Source organism: Homo sapiens, chromosome 15 (assembly GCF_000001405.40).
Source record: "Homo sapiens chromosome 15, GRCh38.p14 Primary Assembly".
In the NCBI taxonomy this organism is placed as follows: domain Eukaryota; kingdom Metazoa; phylum Chordata; class Mammalia; order Primates; family Hominidae; genus Homo; species Homo sapiens.
The window spans coordinates 43,870,454-43,889,260 of NC_000015.10; the positions used below are offsets into that span (position 1 = coordinate 43,870,454).

General features: G+C 47.3%; 1 protein-coding gene and 1 pseudogene across 13 annotated transcripts in view, besides 2 other annotated features; both read right to left on the minus strand.

Moving 5' to 3' along the window:
* Positions 1 to 310: 310 nt before the first annotated feature.
* The window catches only part of FRMD5 (FERM domain containing 5), a 328,710-nt gene continuing 310,213 nt past the window's right edge, over positions 311 to 18,807 (minus strand). For 5 of the 12 annotated variants that reach the window (XM_047433194.1, NM_032892.5, NM_001286491.2 and 2 more), the window contains 6 exons: positions 18,356 to 18,419; positions 17,722 to 17,813; positions 15,228 to 15,302; positions 14,274 to 14,342; positions 13,250 to 13,356; positions 311 to 4,009 (listed from right to left, as the gene is read on the minus strand). In XM_047433194.1, coding sequence (XP_047289150.1) covers positions 3,432 to 4,009; positions 13,250 to 13,356; positions 14,274 to 14,342; positions 15,228 to 15,302; positions 17,722 to 17,813; positions 18,356 to 18,419 — 985 coding nt within the window. In that variant the 3' untranslated portion in view covers positions 311 to 3,431. Of the gene's footprint in view, positions 4,010 to 13,249; positions 13,357 to 14,273; positions 14,343 to 15,214; positions 15,303 to 17,721; positions 17,814 to 18,355; positions 18,420 to 18,807 lie in introns of all 12 variants that reach the window. The other 7 variants (NM_001322951.2, NM_001322949.2, XR_931927.4 and 4 more) reach the window with 6 other exon arrangements.
* PIN4P1 (peptidylprolyl cis/trans isomerase, NIMA-interacting 4 pseudogene 1) lies at positions 5,353 to 7,718 on the minus strand (annotated as a pseudogene). The gene has a single exon (NR_003571.1). The product of NR_003571.1 is annotated as a peptidylprolyl cis/trans isomerase, NIMA-interacting 4 pseudogene 1 (transcript).
* Positions 8,596 to 11,240: an enhancer, noted in NCBI's record as "VISTA enhancer hs1881". NCBI's record gives its function as "enhancer in: heart[6/14]" and the evidence as "EXISTENCE:transgenic organism evidence [ECO:0001131][PMID:17130149]".
* Positions 10,287 to 10,977: an enhancer, noted in NCBI's record as "H3K27ac-H3K4me1 hESC enhancer chr15:44172938-44173628 (GRCh37/hg19 assembly coordinates)". NCBI's record gives its function as "activates a minimal SCP1, AML or CMV promoter by ChIP-STARR-seq in primed H9 embryonic stem cells {active_cell/tissue: H9 hESC(primed)}" and the evidence as "EXISTENCE:reporter gene assay evidence [ECO:0000049][PMID:30033119]".

Consider the following 18,807-nt stretch of genomic DNA (forward strand, 5'->3'; position numbering starts at 1 on the left):
GGGTTTCACCACGTTGGTCGGGCTGGTCTTGAACTCCTGACCTCGTGATCCTCCCGACTTGGCCTCCCAAAGGGCTGGGATTACAGGCGTGAGCCACTGTGCCTGGCCGCTTCTCAGTTTCTAACAGTATTTATCTGGGGGTAAGGACAAGGATAATAGGTGGATACAAGCAAAATAATTATGTTATATGATCCAAGTGAATAGTAGTCAGCTGTGTAAATCCCACCAGTATCCTTTTATCTATGTGTTAGTAACTTTAAGGGAGGAAAAGTAAGACAGGCTATTATTAAAGAAAGAGCCCACTCTTCCATGATATTTAAATATTTATTTAAGTTTAAAAATAATCTTCATGGCACCAATGATTTTATGCTAACTACATACTGCATATGTAGAAAAAAGTACATTGCTTTGAAGGAAAATGTAACTTAAGAGTTTTTGGCACACAGAAGGTTAACAACTATATATTTTTAAATGTATCTAAGAAATTCACATTTGCAGGTAGTTTACCCTCTACTGCTTAAAGATGCAGTATGCTATTCTTTAGTAAGAGTTTTATTTCCTGATAGATGAAGCTATGAAAACCATTGCTTTTTCTACAATGAGATAAACTAATTTTGAGAGAAAATGAGAGACATGTTAGAACACAGTATAACCAGGTTAAAAACTTGAACAATTTTTAAAGGTGGAGATATACCAAAAAAGACTAGTCACCAATCAAAGGAGGTTTATTATTCAAGCACTATTTGAAAAGCAAACTGAAGGAAACTTTTCTATCCATATTTTCTGGGATGAGCCCTGGAAAAAAACAACCCTAAAGTTTCTGTTTACAGAGCAAAATTTAGCTGTTAGAAATGGCATAGACTACTGTACTGTTAGAACTCTAGACACAAGGAACATACTAGGATATGGAATACTGCATCTGTCTCTAATGTGAATATGAAAGGTCAGAGTTGAGGCTATCACTCACTGCATAGAAACACCAGATTCTACAAACTGAGGTAGGAGCACTACACTAAAAGGTAATCTTCTATGTTGCATAAGACAGTAGATACCAGGTGGACACCAGCCCCCTGTCTCCTGACAGCCTTTTCATCTCTGGGTCTACTTTTCACGTTAGTCCTGTGCTAAATAAAGCCTTTGCTATGTAGATGACAAGTGGCAGTGGCTAGTTGATTTTAACTGACCCCTAATCTCTACTAGGATCTCCTTCGGTTTGTATTGTCACTCGATAAATAGATGTTTATAATTCTGCCTAAATTGTTGCTGGTATGAAAATGGTCAGAGAAGCCCTCTTCCCTTCTTAGATTCCAGCTGTGTTTTAGCATTCCAGTATTTGATCTTGCCCATTTGGCATCAGACATCTCTTTGCTGGTTAGTTGTTCAAGCACCCTTTAAACAAGCAACCCTAGTGCCTCCACTGGGAAGAGGTCCCAGATCTTTGATACATGTCAGGCATGGAAACAGAGCTGACTGACCCTCTTCTGCTAACATACTGGTAAGGATCAGTTTTATTGTCTAGAGCAGGATTGGCGTATTATGGCCTGTAGGCTAAATTCAGCTCACTGTTTTCATAAAGTTTTATTGGAACACAGCCATGTTCCTTCATTTACAAATTATCTGTGGCTGTTTTTGTGCTGTGATGGCAGAATTGAGCAGTTGTGACACAGTATGGCGTGCTAAACCAAAATATTTACTGTGTAGCACTTGACATAAGTTGATTGACCTCTGGTCCAGATGAAAGGATGTCTTTAAAATTATGCAAATCTCTCCCTAAGAACCCCAATTATTCCACAGTTGTCATATTGTAAACATGGACATGGTTCTACCATCTCGGGGGACAAAATAGGGGAGGTCAAGTCTACAAGTGACTTGTTCTGTTCTGCGTTTGGGGCTGTCCAATTAGGGTATCAGCAGCTGCTCTACTTTTGTGTGGGTCCAGGAATATGTCCATTGACCACCCTTAAATAAGCCCTCAAGCCCCAGATGACTTAGAAATCTCTCCCTGAGATGAAAACAGGATCTTGTGTGTGATTGGTTTTAGAGTTGAAGAGCTTGGGCCTAGGATCCCACACTCGCCCTTCATATGCCTGTGCTGCGTGCTTCGAGGACTTCCCTCTGCAAGGATGGTGATGCTTTCCTAGAACTTATGCAGAGGATGACCCTAGGGGGCAGCATTTCTACATCTAAGTGTTGGTCTCTGCCACGGTCACATTCTGTGTTTTGTAGGCATCTCTTAGAAATCTATTTTAAAAGATTCTTTTCCTGGTCCCTTCTAAGGCTGTTGATCTTGGAATTCTATTTTCTGAAGCTTTTCATTCTCAGGATCAGTTTCTTTCTTGCATCGTTTAGTTCATCAGGCTCTATTTTCTTAATCCATAAAGTAAAAACAAAATATGAATTGTTAAGAAAATAACATTTCGTTGTTAAAATATAAATTGAAATAGTCTTTGGGTCAAGGGGGTGTATATAAAATAAGCACTGCTATCCAAATCTCAACAGTCTCTCAGGTAACTTAACTCTGCTTTCTCTTAACTACACTTTGTCCAACATTTCTGACAGAACTATCTATCTCTGGTACCACTGAATTCGTTTAACGCCCCTGGAGCACTATAAAAGTCTTGAGGTTCTTCGGAAAAAAAAAATCACGTTAAGTCTAGTTTCATTATACAAAACTATGGTGATGCCCACTAGGCTCTAGACTAAGGGGACAGACTTACCCCACCCCTGATGCTGCTGTTGCTGTAGCGGTGGTCCCTTCAGATGCCCACTCTGCTCAGATTTGAAAAAACAAAAGGAAAAGAAAATCCAACTCAGACCATCATAAGAAGCAACTTTCCATTTAATCATTCTACATGGATGTTTACTTTTTTAAAAGTTCTGGCTGGCAAAAAAAACAAACAAAAAACTAAACAGTCCCCATTGTCCAGATCCCTGGCCTGCCCTGCTGAGGCTGCAGTGATGAGTCTACTGGAACCCAGTGGCACCAGCAGGAAAAGCTCCTGCAGAATACAGAGGACAGCAGCTCTCTAGTTTTCAACTAGTGTCCCCTCTGCTAGGTGATACTACTGCAATAATCAGTAATAGTAAAATAAATTATTTTTATTTGATACTTCAAAATAATATACATCTATGAAAAATCAAAATTCAAAACCAAAAATTATCCTGCAAATTGGAAAGATGAGAAACAGAGTCGCTGAGCCTTTCTTGAAATAACTTCTGAAGAAAATGAGTTTTCCCAGTTTGTTTAGACAGGGCATGAGCCTATCCCTTTCTTCTTCTGGGAAACACCCTCCTAGGCTGCAGTGGACTTTGAGTCATGAGAGGAGGACTTGGTATATGTGCCGATGGTTCCGCGATGGGTCCCATTGCTGGGAATGGGTAGCCGGGTTCCTTGGTCCACCTGGCTAGTTTTTGGGAGGAGTCATGCCTTCTCAGGTGTCAATGAGCAGGCTCACCACTGAGCGGATTTTGCAGGCAAACCATCGCCTGAGGGGACAAAAGTATTGATAGTGGAATTGTTCAAACTCGGGGGTCTGGCGGATATCACGGAAAAAGGCAATGTCAAGGTCAGACTCGGTAAGGATGATCAGGAGGAGGAGCAAAACAAAGAGGAGTCCCATGGTCACAAGGAGCAAACGGAGGACACTTAGAACAAACTTATTCACCTGTTCCTCCTCGGGCCCGCTGTGCCCCTGACACAGGGCCCTCAGCTCTCCCCCAAGGGCCTCCACCTCTGTAGCAGTTGGGGTGCTGGCTTCAGATTCCTTCTCCTCCTCAATGCTGCAGGTGGCTCCATTGATCTGCCGGGAAAGCAACATCAGCTCCAGGCTGTGCTCAGCCACAGGGGTGGGCAGCACGCTGTCTGCAGGGCTGTAGGCCTCGTCTGCAATCACAGCTACTCGCTCATTGCTATCTGTCCGGCTGCTTCTCACGTGAGGCAGGAAGGTGTCCCCATGGGAAGTGGAACGCACTGGTGTGGAATGGGCACTGTCCCGTAAGGACTCTAGGCCTAGAAAGGCAAAAGGAACATGAGTAGGCTGTGTCCCAATGCACCCTTTGCTTTCCAGTAGCACCCATTGTGTTTTATTGGGTACCATTCTGCACACCCACATGACCAGCAGCAGTAGCCACTGCACTCTATTTTGATATATCGAGAAGACGACAGGCCGGGTATGGTGGCTTACACCTGTCATCTCAGCACTTTGGGAGGCCGAGATGGGTGGATCGCTTGAGGTCAGGAGTTCCAGACCAGCCTGGCCAACGTGGTGAAACCCCATCTCAACTAAAAATACAAAAATCAGCCGGGCCTGGTGGCACATGCCTGTAATCCCAGTTACTTGGTGGGCTGAGGCAGGAGAATCGCTTGAACCCGGGAGGCGGAGGTTGCAGTGAGCTGAGATCGCACTATTACACTCCATCCTCGGCAACAGAGTGAGTAAGATTCCATCTTAAAAAAAAGAAAAAGGCTGGGCGTGGTGCCTCATGCCTGTAATCCCAGCACTTTGGGAGGCCAAGGCGGGCGGATCATGAGGTAAGGAGTTCGAGACCAGCCTGGCCAACATGGTGAAACCCCGTCTGTACTAAAAATACAAAAATCAGCCACGTGTGGTGGCGGGCATCTGTAATCCCAGCTACTCAGGAGGGGAGGCAGGAGAACTGCTTGAACTTGGGAGGCAGAGGTTATAGTTAGCAGAGATCGTGCCACTGCACTCCAGCCTGGGTGACAGAGCAAGACTCTGCCTCGGGGCGAGGAGGAAGCCAGGTGTGGTAGTGCATGCCTGTTGTCCCAGCTACTTTGTAGGGGGGCAGATTGCTTGAGCCTGGGAGGTCAAAGCTGCAGTAAACCAAGATCACACCACTGCATTCCAACCTGAGCAACAGAGAAAGACTGTCTCAAAAAAAAAAAAAAAATATATATATATATATATATATATATATATGTATGTATGAAACAAGAGAAGGCACAGAAATCACAGTGGCCATTTTAGAAGAGTTTTTCTTTGCTTTTTGCTTACGGTTTTGGCCTAGTTTGTGTGTGTTTTGAGATGGAGTCTTACTCTGTCGCCCAGGTTGGAATGCAGTGGTGCAATCTCAGCTCACTACAACTTCTGCCTCCCGGGTTCCAGCGATTCTTGTGTCTCAGCCTTCTGAGTAGCTGGGAATACAGGTGTCTGCCACCACACCCAGCTAATTTTTTTATTTTGAGTAGAGACGGGGTTTTGCCATTTTGGCCAGGCTGGTCTAGAACTCCTGGCCTCCCAAAGTGCTGGGATTATAGGTGTGAGCCACCGCACCCAGCCCCTAATTTGTTAAAGATTCTGCCTTTCTTGCCTTTGGTGTCCTGGGCCTAGTTTTTTTTTTTTTTTTTTTTTTTCTTTCAGTCTTTCATATGATTTTATTTTCTTCCTTCAACCATAATAATATGATATCCAAATTTTGTCTTAACTGCTGGGTCTGTAAACACAGGCTTATCCATCACACTTATAGGCAAGGCAAATGCTGCTTCTTGAAATGGTCCCACCATGGACCCTCTGGTCATCCAACCCAAGACGCCCCCTTGCCTGGCTTTATCTTCACTATATTGTGTGGCCACTTCATTGAATCTCATCCCAGACTTTAACTTTTCCATGGCTTCCATGATTTTGCCATGTTTTTCCCATAGAATGTGTCTGACCTTTACTGCATTGCCACCACCTTTGGGACCTTGAGCCTTCTTGTCAGCACTGTCACTCCCAGAGGCTGCACCCCCTTTCCCCGCTTTTCCAGAACCACTTTTTCCTTTGGGCGGCATCTTGGAAGCTTGTTGTTGAACTCTGAACTCTGGGCCTGGTTTTTACCCCAGTTTGAAAGAATCTGAATTCCAAACTACCCCTGATGCAGAGCTGGGACCACGGTTTGAGTCTCAAGTCTGCCTGTTGGGTGGAGGGCTTTAAGAGGCAGGAATGGGCCAGACACGATGGCTCCCATCTGTAATCCCAGCACTTTGGGAGGCCAAGGCAGGTGGATCACTTGAGCCAAAGGGTTCAAGACCAGGCTGGGCAACATAGACACTGTAACTATAAAATTTTTAATAAAAGAGAGGTAGGAATGGGGAGAAGGGGAATATGTCATGCCTAACTGGGTTTCATCAAATACCGAATATCCTTGTAAAAACCCAGCATACAGCATCTTGAGCTTATAAGGTCAATATTTTTGGATTTCTGCAGCTGCTCTCAGTCTCTTCAGCCTCCGTTCTAGCTGTTCTGACTTTGTGGAATGATGGGGTAGAAACTCTCTCTGCTCTTCTTGAGGGGGCATGGGAGTAGTCCCTGGCCAGCTCCCTCTCTTTTCCTCTGAGAAGGAGCTGGGTCTAGAATAGGCTGAAAAGCTCCCCTATCTTTAGACACTTCAGAGCACAAAACAGTTTGAGAAGATCTTGTTGCGGGGGTGGATTTCTCTTACATTTGGTAGGAGGAAGGGGTATTCTATCCCCTAAAACTACCCATTATCTCTTCTCTCTTCCCAAGGTTCTCACAGGACTCAAGCCCTGGCAGGGAAAACAGGAGCTGGTTACACTCTCAACTGAACAGCAGCCACCCAGGCCAGAGGCTTTGGGCATATAGTGAGTGAGCGCGGCCCCCATCACAGTGCTCCCAAGGAAATGGCTTCTTGTTTTAGGCTCAATGTCTGCATTTTCCACTCCTGGCCATCTTGGTGATGCTGGTGTGGTTCTCTCTGCCTTTGTGACCTATGACAAGAAAAGCCAGTCCCCTTCTGTTGCCCTGAAATAGTCCCTGACAATCCCAGACTGAACCAGATTCCCAGCTCAGTAAAGGTTTTACCTAAGTCAGGTTGATTAGGGAGTTTTTTGGTTCAGGGCTAGCTCCAGAAGCCCAAAGGGTCTCTTTTTTCCCCTTCTTCCAGGACATGAAGCAGTCCAAAGGTCTCTCTTAAAAAGGTGTTAGTAACCTTTCAGAAGCAGTGTGTCCCATCTTCCTTGGCTCCCTCATGGCTTGGCCGTTTGCACCCAGGCAGCCTGCCTGACCAGCCTTGTGGAGCCTGTCTTGGCACAGGCACAGTTAAGGATTCTCCAGAGGAATGAGCCCTGGAATCTGGGTTATGAATGAGTAGGACAATGGGGAGAGAGGGTGGGGGCAAAGGCAGGGCACCTGCCATCTAGTTACGCTCCCCATTGCGTCACGGCTCATATATTTGCCACAGCTCTCAATCTCTGCTTTCAGAAGCTCCTCATAGTCTTAGCTGTATTTTTTGTCCCTGTGCTAAAATCTTAAATTTGTATAATGCTTTCATCTTTTTAAAGCACTTTGATTTTATCTTTCAGTAACTCCACAAGGTAGTGAGGGCAAGAGGTTATCTGAAGTCATGTGGTTGGCAGTTAATGGCAAAACCAAGGATAGAATCCAAGCCGCTTTCTAGTTCATGATCCTGCTGATCATATCTATTAAGTCCTCATGTTGTCAACAGGTTCCTGGAAACCATGACTTTAAGCCAAATGATGTTACAGCAGGTCCTCCAATGTTTTCTTCAGCATCATTTTGTTATAATTTTTTTAAAGTTCTTTAGTTTTTTGAGACAGTCTTACTCCATTGCCTAGACTGGAGTGCAGTGGTACAATCACGGCTCACTGCAGCCTCGACCTCCCAGGCTCAGGTGATCCTCCCACCTCAGCCTCCTGAGTAGCTGGGACTACAGGCATGTGCCACCACGCCTAGCTAATTTTCGTATTTTTTGTAGAGACAGGTTTTTGTGCTGGGATTACAGATGTGAGCCACCACGCCCAGCCCCATTTTGTTATAATGTTGATGAGAAAAAAAAAAGTTTAATTGTACATCATTTTGCTTAAAGTTGCAGTTTCTAAAGACCCTGTCAACGCTGTTAAGTGATGACTTAACTGTAGTCGGATTCCATGGAATGGAACCATGGGCCAGGACGGATTAAATCAACAGCCAGCATCTACCTTAGATTTAGGTCTTAATTGCTCGAGAAACTGTTTTGAAATAACCTGAAATTAAGAGTCTCTGTCCCTTGTTCTAGAGCTCTTGCTGTTCCTCTGATCTCTCTTCCACAGTATTCCTCCCTGATGTCCCCATTTGCACATGCAGCTTGAGGAATATGTACCTTGGGACAGGTTATGGGTCACTGATAAAGCAGAAACCTTAAGGCCCTGGTTGCAGCATATTGCTTGCTTGGCTCCTTTCCCAGGCAGTCCTCAGCCCCATTGCATAGGGCGCCTGCCACCCTTTCAAAGGCCTGCCCCTTCATGAAGACAGCTCTGACTGCAGGATCTTTCAAAGTATGAAAAGCTTAGCTTAACCTACGATTACACCCCTCAGCTTGTGGGGAAGGAGAGGCAGATGCTGTGACATCAGAAGAGGAAAATGTCAGAGGACCACCTGGAGCCACATCATACTGGGAGCTGTTGGTGCTCTCATTAAACAAGATAATGGATAGATAGGCATTTCTTTTTTTTTTTCTTTTCTTTTTTTTTTTTTTTTTTGAGATGGAATCTCACTCCATCTCATTGCCCAGGCTGGAGTGCAATGGTGCAATCTCGGCTCACTGCAGCCTCCGACCCCCGGGTTCAAGTGATTCTCCCACCTCAGCCCTGCGAGTAGCTGGGATTACAGGCGCCCACCACCATGCCCGGCTAATTTTTGTATTTTTAGTAGAGATGGGGTTTCGCCATGTTGGCCAGGCTGGTCTGAGCTCCTGACCTCAAGTGATCTGCCCATCTCAGCCTCCCAAAGTGCTGGGATTACAGGCATGAGCCACCACATCCAATTAGATGTGCATTTCTAGTAGAATGCCTGACAAATACAGTTGCTCAGTAAATATCAGTTGGTCTCCTCCCTTAACAGAAGATCTCACCTGTAAGGTGACCCTCCCACATCAGGTTAGTCCTATATTAGAAACTGTTTTCACTGCTGTAAAAGCCACCACCTGTCCTGCCATTTCATCGAACCTGTTATTTTGGGATAGATGGGATGGGTGCCGTGGGAAGGATCTGCGCTAACTGGCACAGCAAAACAGGAGAGCCTTTTTTACCTTGGAAATGCTCCAGCTGATTCCCTTGCCCGGGGGTCACAGCAGTCAGGACCCTACCCTGGAGCCGGGGCCCCATCCTCAGGATGCGCACACTTAGGGGCCGAAAGCAGTGATTAGTCAGCCGGAGCTGGACCCGGACTCTGGTGTGAATCTTAATCAGACTCTTCCCCATGGTGGCCCAGGAAGGCAAATACTTCTTCAGTGGAAACCAGCTGATCTCTTCAGAGAAACCAGCCAGGCAGGGAGAGATACAGAGAGGCAAAGATGGAAAGCCAACTAGGAACAAAGGATTTCTGCAGATCCCACATCATAGCAGCCCCTTGGCAGTGCCTCGCGTGTTGCAGGGAGAAGGTCACCTCCCCAAGCTTCACATCAGGCTGAACTGCAGGGAAGGAGCAGCTCTGAGAGGCCACCGTTATCAGGGGACTGGATTTAGTCAGAAGCACTTAGAGCCATAAAAAGTAATGCTTCCTTGGCCTGCAGCTCTTTCCCTGAGGCCTGGATAAGGGCTCCAACCTCTCAGAGGGCAAGGGACAGAGGGGGCAGAGAACAATCCCAGAGGGTAAGGGGAATCAAGACCGTCCCAGAAAATCCAGGATGTAAAGTGACAAGGCCATTGGCCTTTATCCAGGCCATATATAGTCCAGGCCTGCCCTGGTGCCAGCCAAGTTGCATGGTCAGCCTAGCTTTGGGGCTGGGTGGCTCTGAAGTGGGAGGAGGTAGTCTCTGTGATACTAAATGGGCCAAATGGACTATAGAAAAGAAAGTCTTTGGTGGAGCATGAACCAATTTAAATGCCTCTAAATTCCTTGGGGTTTTTGTTGGTTGCGCCCTTCTTCTGAGGCCCTCATCGCATCCCTCGCAGCCCCTCCCTCCCTGGTTGGGGTGGGCAGTTAGTTAGGGTCAGCAGTGCCTGTCAGGACCTTTAAAGGCAAGCCCTCCTCTTGAAAGACGTTGCACCTGAACTCTCGCCTCCTGGAAACTAACCCATTCTTTACTTCCACAGGCTTGGTAGCCCCTGTACTGATAAAGCCATTTAATTGCTACAATCTTTTATTTATTTCCACATCCAAACCTGATGTCCATCTCCCTCTCCTCACCCTGAGCCTGTGAGGTTCATTTGGGCCAGGTCAGTTTTACCTGCGCTGTCCTGCATCTAATGGGTCCTGGGCTGGGGGCCATGACCAGGGCCACTTGCAGCCTTGGGCACAGGGTGTGAGAAGCACCTGGAAGTCTGCTGAGCTGTAACCTACCAAGTGTGCCATTCTATGAGGCTGGTTTTGAGGAAGTGCCCTGGCCCTAGGGGGCCTATACTCCTCAGCAGCCTCTCCCCACTGTACGTCTCTTTGCATTTGGCAGCAAGGGGGAATAGTTTGGACAAGGAACCTGCTGCTGCAATGGGAGGAGGAGGCTGGAGGTAAAGCCAGAGCTGAATGGGGACCTGACTCAGCCTCAGCATGTCTCAGGATCACAAGGACTGTTTTCCCCGCCTCTGAGTTGTTCTACTAACCCTACTTGGCAGCAACTCTCAGTGAGTTTTGTCTCTACACAGAGAGCCTCAGCCCTCCCTCTTTTGGGAATGCTGGTTTCCTGGACATTCTTCCCTGTTCTGGGAAGTAGGCATGCACAAGGCTCCTCTCCTGTTTTACATCCTGCATGGTGCTAGCTTCCCTAGGGTGAGCCTTTTGTTTGGGAGGACAGCTGTCCCAGCTCTCTGTGGAGGATGGGGATGGACCCTCTAGCTTCAGCCTCAGAGGGATGGAAAGAAAGGCCACAGAGGGGAGAAAGTTATGTTTCCTCAGAGAATTTCATTCTACTTCCTGAGATGTACACCCCAAAAGAGGGACGGAGAGAGCCAAGGGACAGTGAGAGCCAAGCTCAGTTCTCCGGGTCAGCCTAAGATGGGAGGAAACACCAGGAGGCTGTGTCTCATGATGGTCATATATCCATAATTCCATTCTTTGCATAACAATTCTACTTGGTAGTCCACAGGCACTCTCCCACACCCAGCTCTGTTCTGCAGTGGGGGAACTAGGCTCAGAGATAAAACAACCTGTTACAGAAAGTGCATGGCAGAGCTCCTAGTCAGACCTTGGCTTCCTGATCAGAACTCTGCACTGTGCTTGCTGCCGGCCTGTAAACGCTTTAGTCTCTTTCAAGTACTTCCGCACATATTAGCTTCCTTGCAACCAATGGGGTGGGCAAGGAAGATGTCCCTATTTTACAAATGGAGCAATGAAGATACTCAAGTAACTTGATGGTGTTTGTCTAGCCGGGGTTCTCAACCTCTAGACCATAGGGAGTTACATACTAGACTTTGGTAACATGGAATCTCACACTCACAGTGACACATCCTAAAATCCTAAACACAAATTAGATCTCAGGGAAACAGCAGAGTGATAGCCTTCCTAACGTGAGCAATTCATTTTCATTCCCAAGCAGCATTCTTACAGAAAGGACAAAGGGCTGTCCTGCCAGCTTCCACACCATTAATCCCAGGAGAGAGACAGGTATGAACCAATTCTGCTGTTTCCCGCTGTGTGAGATTTCTGAGGTCCTAAAAAAACACCATCTTCGGGAATGAAAGCACTCAACTTTACACCTGTATCCAGCCTGCGGGTGACCTGGGCCAGTGACAGCAGCTAGAGGGCAGTATTCCAAGAGCGCCTCCTAACAGCATTAACTACCCAGAGAATAGATTGTTGGCCTCAGCTATTGGGGTATCTAGTTCAGTGGAGATACGTAGAATTTCTCTCTCTTCCCACCTCGGCCTGCTCCAAAGGAAGGGAGTCTGGAGGGAGATGGGTCGTATTGAATTTCCTGAGACAGTGGTAAGATATGCAGATAGCAACAGGACAAATTTCTTTCTTTTTTTTTTGAGATGGAGTCTTACTCTGTTGCCCAGGCTGGAGTGCAGTGGCACGATCTCAGCTCACTGCAACCTCCGCCTCCTGGGTTCAAGCAATCCTCTTGCCTCAACCCCCCAAGTAGCTGGGATTACAGGCGTGCATCACCACACCTGGTTAATTTTTGTATTTTTAGTAGAGACGGGGTTTCACCATGTTGGCCAGGCTGGTCTCAAACTACTGACCTTAGGTGATCCACCCACCTCAGCCTCCCAGAGTGCTGGGACTACAGGCGTGAGCCACTGCCCAGCCAACGGGACAGATTTCTATAGCTGAAGCAAAACATGGTGGCAGCTACTAGAAATGCTTCGGAACCAAGAAGTGAAAATTCTTGGTTAACAGTCTCAGCCATCCTGATAATTTTACTGTGGAGATTGGTCAGATTTAGCAAACAAGTGGAATCCTCTTTTTTTTCTTGAGACAGAGTCTCTGTCACCCAGGCTGGAGTGCAGTGGTGCAATCTGGGCTCACTGCAGCCTCCACCTCTGCCTTCCGGGTTCAAGCAGTTCTCCCACCTCAGCCTCCCTAGTAGCTGGGATTACAGGCTCCCACGACCATGCCCTGCTAATTTTTTGTATTTTTGGTAGAGAAGGGGTTTCACCATGTTGGCCAGGCTGCTCTCAAACTCCTGAGACCTGAATTGAACCTCCCAAAGTGTTGGGATTACAGGCGTGAGCCACTGCGCCAGCCCCTTTTTTTAAAAAATTCTTTTTTTTTTTTGGACAGTCTCCTTTACCCAGGCTGGAGAGCAGTGGCACGAACTCAGCTCACTGCAACCTCTGCATCCCAGGCTCAAGCGAGTCTCCTACCTCAGCCCCCCGAGTAGCTGGGATTAGTCATGTGCCACCACGCCCAGCTAGTTTTTGTATTTTTAGTAGAGACAGGGTTTCACCATTTTGGCCGGGCTGGTCTTGAACTCCTGACCTCAAGTGATCCACCCATCTAGGCCTCCCAAAGTATTGAGATTACAGGTGTGAGCCACCGCACAGGGCGTGAAAATCCTCTTGATGGAAAGCAATTTCAGAACTGCATGGAACCTATAGATCCCACATATGCAAGTCCCCCAAAGGGCTAACCCAGCACCCTCAAATCCACAACCCTCCTGCTTAGATACCCACACCCCTTTACCCTGTACCCAGCTAATATTCCCATCCACTGGATAAAACCTCCTACTTGCCACTGGAGGCCCTTTTCCCCAAGAGACATGCTGCCATCACTAATGCAAATTAGCCTCTTTTCAAGGTCCCAGATCACAACTTGGAGGACCCCAGTGGTCACCTCAAGAAGCTCATGCTCACCTTCCATGATGGAGATGTGAACAGCTCTTCTGCGGGTCCTGGGGACGCTGCTCAGCCTTGGGCCATGGGTTATGGAGGGACAGCTCCGGCTGGGAACCATCCCTGCTCTGAGGTTAAAGAAAAAGAACCTTGTTAATTCAGTGCATGGACACATTTGGTAGGCACTTAAGAATTGAGTACTGGCTACTAGAATTGCCTGGCTATATTAAGTCTTGGTCTCTCTCTTTTTTAAAATCTTTAATACCTTCTCTTTGCCTTTGGTCTCTGGATTCCAGTCAGAGATAGTGCTTCAAACTCCTCCACCTCTTTGTAACCCTAGACTCATCTGAACCTTTTTTTTAGTGTGGCAGCAGTGCCACTGGTCTCTGGGGTGGGGGCAAGACTGTCAGAGAGTAGAGCCCCAGGATGAGCAGTACTCCTGAAAATATGCCTGGACCAATACTGGCAGCCTCCCCTGACTTCCAATAGAGGCTGCTGATGACAGGGCTCCATGTGAAGGGGCAGGCAGTAATGCTCCCCTTCCCAGAGGCAAAGGCTGGTTGGCAAATCCTACCCTTCTTGGTCAGTCATATTCTTTCTGGGTCTTAGATTCTAGGAGATAGGCTTCTGGAAACACAATTTGTGGATCTACATGAAGCATGGATCCTGAAATTATTTTAGAGCCAGTGTGGCAGGGCTGTGGGACTATCCTTGGCTTCATATGATCGACTGGTTCCAGAACCACTGAAATTGTGTGACACATCTATGATCAGTGTCAAGACTAGGGAGGGCAGAAGAGAATTGCCAAGTGAAGTGGCACCTGGATCTGATGTACTATCTGCAGTAGCCCTTCCTCCCTCCCCAGCTCTCTTATTAAGGGTCAAAGACTTCTCCCCATCCCTCTGAGAAGTTTCTTCAGCCTTCTGCTCCATTTTGGACTTTTTGGTAGCCACTGGAGCCAGGGGCTTCACAGTACTCAAACTGCTGGATTGAGATTCTGGGATCTGAGCTACAACTGTTTGGGGGGAAGCCCCTGGCAGCCTACCTGTGTATTTCCGGTGGCTCCCGTTTGATCTTAGCACTTGATTCCATGACTTCCTTTGCAACTCGGCCACTGTAAGTAGTGTAATAAAAACAAGCAGCAAGAAATGAGACTGTGTTGTAGGACAGCTCCTCTCCAAGATCTTAGGTGCTTTCCCTGAATCAGGAAATGGCATCTGTGGCCCACCCTTTCCCTGATGTTTTGGTCATGGAGAAAGGCTTGCTTGGTGGGGTAGACTTCTAAACTGTCATGACAGCCTATCTGAGAGAACTCTCTCCATCTCTAGAGTCTTTAGGATCTTCCATTCTCATTTAGGAGTAATTCCTCATTTTCCAGCATGTTCCAATTACATCACAAAAAAACACATAAGAACAACCTTTAGACAGTGAGACATGAATCACTGTTATAGTTCTTATTTTGCTATTGTAAGGGAAAGAGAAGATACATATTTATTTTTCATTTTCTTGGAGACAGGGTCTTGCTCTGTCTCCTGGGCTGGAGTGCAGTGGTGCAATCATGGCTCACTGCAGCCTCGACCTCCTGAGCTTAAGCAATTCTCCCACCTCAGCCTCCCAAGTAGCTGGGACTACAGGTGTGTGCCACCACACCCAGATAATTTTTTTTGTATTTTTAGTAGAGATGGGGTTTCATCATGTTGCCCAGGCTGATTTCAAACTCCTGGCCTCAAGTGATCCACCTGCCTCAGCCTCCCAGAGTGCTGGGATTATAGGCATGAGCCACTATGGCCGGCCAATATACATTTAAAACCCTACAGACAAATTGCTGTAGGGAAGGAAGGAAATAGTAAAAGGGTCATAAGATGGGAGAATTAGATGGAGACCTCAGACTTTTCTGAGTCCTCCCTGGTTTCTCTGTTCTAAAGGATAAGGACCACTGAGTTCTCCAGAGAAGGGTCTGAAAATAGATCCATAATGGTTACTTACTGTCACTATTTACCTGTATCGGAACCGGCTCCCTTTAAAGAATAAATTGCTGCTGGACACTGTGCGGACTTGGCTTGACTTCTCCAGCCTGTAGCAAGGCAAAGTCCAGTGTGATAGACAGCCTGAACTGCCTCACACAGGTTAAGGCAGCACATCCCCAGCTTCTTCCAAAGGCTACTTGAAACTTCAGGAAAAAAGCCCTTCATAGTCCACATTTGTCTCTGACTCTCATTTAGGATCTGGGGGCTGTGCTCACAGCCAGCTGCTCTCCTGCCTCAGTGCCCAGGACTGTCAACATGGAAACCCATTTTAGTGTCAGGAGAGTGAAGGCTCCCCCAAAATGCTTCATAGGTTTTACCAGGGGGACTGAGAGAATACATGCTCGGGTGGATGGTCTTGGGGAATAATAGAATGCCCATCTAATCTCAGCCACGTCACTTATTAGCAGTGTGACCTCGGGCAAATTTCCTTCTCTCTTAGCCTCACCCTTTTTATAAAATGATAGAGCTGGGACTACTGGACCTTAGGGGTCTCCTTTCCAGTCCCAGTATTTGATTTTGTGTCTATGTCTGGGTAATTGTGGGTGGAGAAGAGGGTGGGGGCTGTCTTTCCTGTTCCATCTCCCTTTTGGAGGGTCCTAAAATACATGACCACAGTAAAGACAGAAATCCTGCGATGAAGAAACTAGCTTAACTTTAATAAAAGTCCGTCATGTATTTGAATTTGGAGCCTTTCTCCCTCCCCCAGGATATCTATTTTATATCTCGTTTGAAGCTGCAGACAGCCGATGTGGAGCTCTGTAATACTTTCTCCTGGGTGACTTCACTGAGCCCATTAGCTCTCTCAGCTTGGGCACAGCAGCTCAGAGAGAAGCCTCCTAAGATGGGATCCACCTGTAACATGCCCAGGTGCCTATGGTACTGATCCAACCAGTAACCTATGTGAGTCTGAAACCTGTGCTATGAGCAGTGAGTAGGAGCTGTTTCCACAATCCATGAACAGTTCTTGGGAGACACCATCCCTGCCCGTCTCAGGGCTCCAGGACATCCGAGCTGCTTACTGGAGCCTGGGCATGTTCTTGCATCTGACTGGGCTCCTGCCATGGCACTAGGCCAAAGGCAGGACTAGGGATCTGTATGTGAGAGACACTGAGGGCAAGGCCAAAGCGCTGCTGCCAGAGACTTGACATACCTGGGGATCTCACCCAGGCTTTTACCGTTTGATGAGAACATTAAGGAGGCAATGGAAAACTGAAAAATGACCTCCATTTCCAGTGTGGGTGCAGGCAGGGCTGGGTGGGTAGGGAGATCTACTCGTGGGAAGACTCAGAAACTGAGTGAGGTCACAGGTTCAGAAGCAACACTTCTGTTTCCGTGACACAGATGGGAAAACCAAGCCCTTAAGAAATGCTGCTGAAGGCATGAAAAGACAAGAGGCAAGGAGATTGCTTCTGTTTGCTTCTTCTCTACCCTTTGGTAGAGAGAAAGGGAAAGCTTCCACATATGCCATTCCCAGGGCAGGGATAGTTCAGTGTGGAGCAGGCCCCTGTCGGCTAGTGCCTTCCTCTCTCTGCTGCGGAGACCCGTGGGACCCCAGTTCTTGGGCTGCTCCTCAGTCCCACAGGCAGGAGCTTGCATCTCAAGTTGCTTCTCTCTAGGTTCAGGTAACTGGCCAAACCTGGATTACATCCTCACAGGCAAAGGGAGGGTGGTAGCAAAAGAAAATAAATGTTTTCTTGACTTTCTATGGACAGTAGGGACTGAACAGGAGGGAAGTGTGACCATGCCAAAGTCTCCCGAGTATATTCAGGAGAAGAAAGGCTGCCGATTCAGTGAATCCTTGGTTCTGGTATAAACACATAATGGGAATTAAGTAATTCAGAATGCCTGTCTAAGAAACAGCTTCTGGGGCTGTGGCCCTGGCAACTGGGAGGACCCAGTTCTGCCAGCCAGCATCCCATAGCAGCCAGCAGGCAGCAGAATCTTCCCTGGAGAGAAGTATGGTGCCACTCATCCCAGAGCAGTTCTCATCTCTCCAGGATCCTTCAGGTTACTGGAACTGGGACCTGGCCAATCAGGGGCATTTGGTGAGAGCAGGGCTCACCCCAGGTAGAATATACCACACTCTGTCTTGCCTTGACCTCATTCAGATACATCTTAGTAAAGCATAAATCATTACGGTATATTTTTAAAACAAGACCAAAGGGCTTAGTGAGACATATTTTACCTGGCATCATGCCCTCAGTGGGCCATTTCTTCACTACCTAATGCTTTTATAACCACTTTCTTAACCGAAGAAAACAACACAAAAGCCCCACATTCTTTACAAAATCCCTTTGGTAGGCAAAGCTCTTGCCTTTGGCCTCAACCTGGCTTCTCAGTAACTGTCAAGCTCTTGCCCACTTCCAGCTACCCCGCCCCAAGTTCCTGGGCACTTGGCCTCCTGTCACCGACTCTCTCTGACTCTGGCTCTAAGAAAGACAGTCCCCATCACATGTATCCACTCACTTGTAGAAGGCTTGGTTCTCGATTCCACATTTCCAGAGGTGCTTACACGCTTCAGGAGTTGGAGCAAAATATGTAAGAATAATTTTCTTTTCCTGCAAAAAATTCCACATTGATATGGCTGAGTGTGGATGGAGAAGCAAAGGGTGAAGTAGGCGAGGACCCTGACCCCAGAGCTGTTAGAGGCCCTGGCAGCTGGCTAGTTAGAGGGGAGGGCCTGTGGGACCCACTGAGGCAGAGCTCAGTTAAGTGCATCACATCATACTTGGCAAGTCCAATCAGGGTAAGTCTCAGCTGGCACAAAAGTGGCACAAATTGAACCAGGAGAGCTCTTGGTGAGAAAGTTGCCCTTGCCTCTGGAATTCCCATATACACGAAAGAAAAAGAGCCTTCCTTTGCATTTCCTGGAGGTAAAGATCTCTTGAGTGGAAGCTCTGGGTGTCAATAGCATCCCTGAGGAAGTCCTGTGCTCCAGGGCCTTCCCGCTCCTTCATATTGTACCTCCAGGTCCTGACCTTGGTCTTGGCTTAGTATGTGGGTAGCTTGGCTCTACTGGGGTCCCTCAAGCTTGGCTCTGGCCACCAGGAAGCATCCCATCACCCCAGCCCTCCTTGAAGAGAAGGAAGCCAGCACTCACCTCTTTCTGACTTACGTATAAATAGAAAGTCTTTCCTTCAAATTTCAGCTTGGTCACCTCATTCCTAGAAGCACAAAGATAGTGCCTGTCACCTCATTGTGGGCTGCTTGTTCACAGCTAAATCTTGTAGATGCACAGCCCACCCCAACTGGAAGGGGCTCCAGGCACAGACACAATTTTAGCCAAAATCAGAACTGAAACAAGACAGCAGCGCAGTGGCCTTAGAGAATGTTGTTGAAACAGTTCAATCCACAGTTTTCTGGTCAATCACACTATAGTAATAGGGTGACAGGAGGATTTCGGGCTTATCAACAGTGGCTGTAAAAGGGAAACATTTGCATGGAAAGTGAGTCTAGGTAGAGTATCTGGGGTCATTTCAGGATTGGGTTCATAACACAGGTGCATTATCTGGATGGGACTGTCAAACGTAAGATGCCACAGGTAGCTGATGA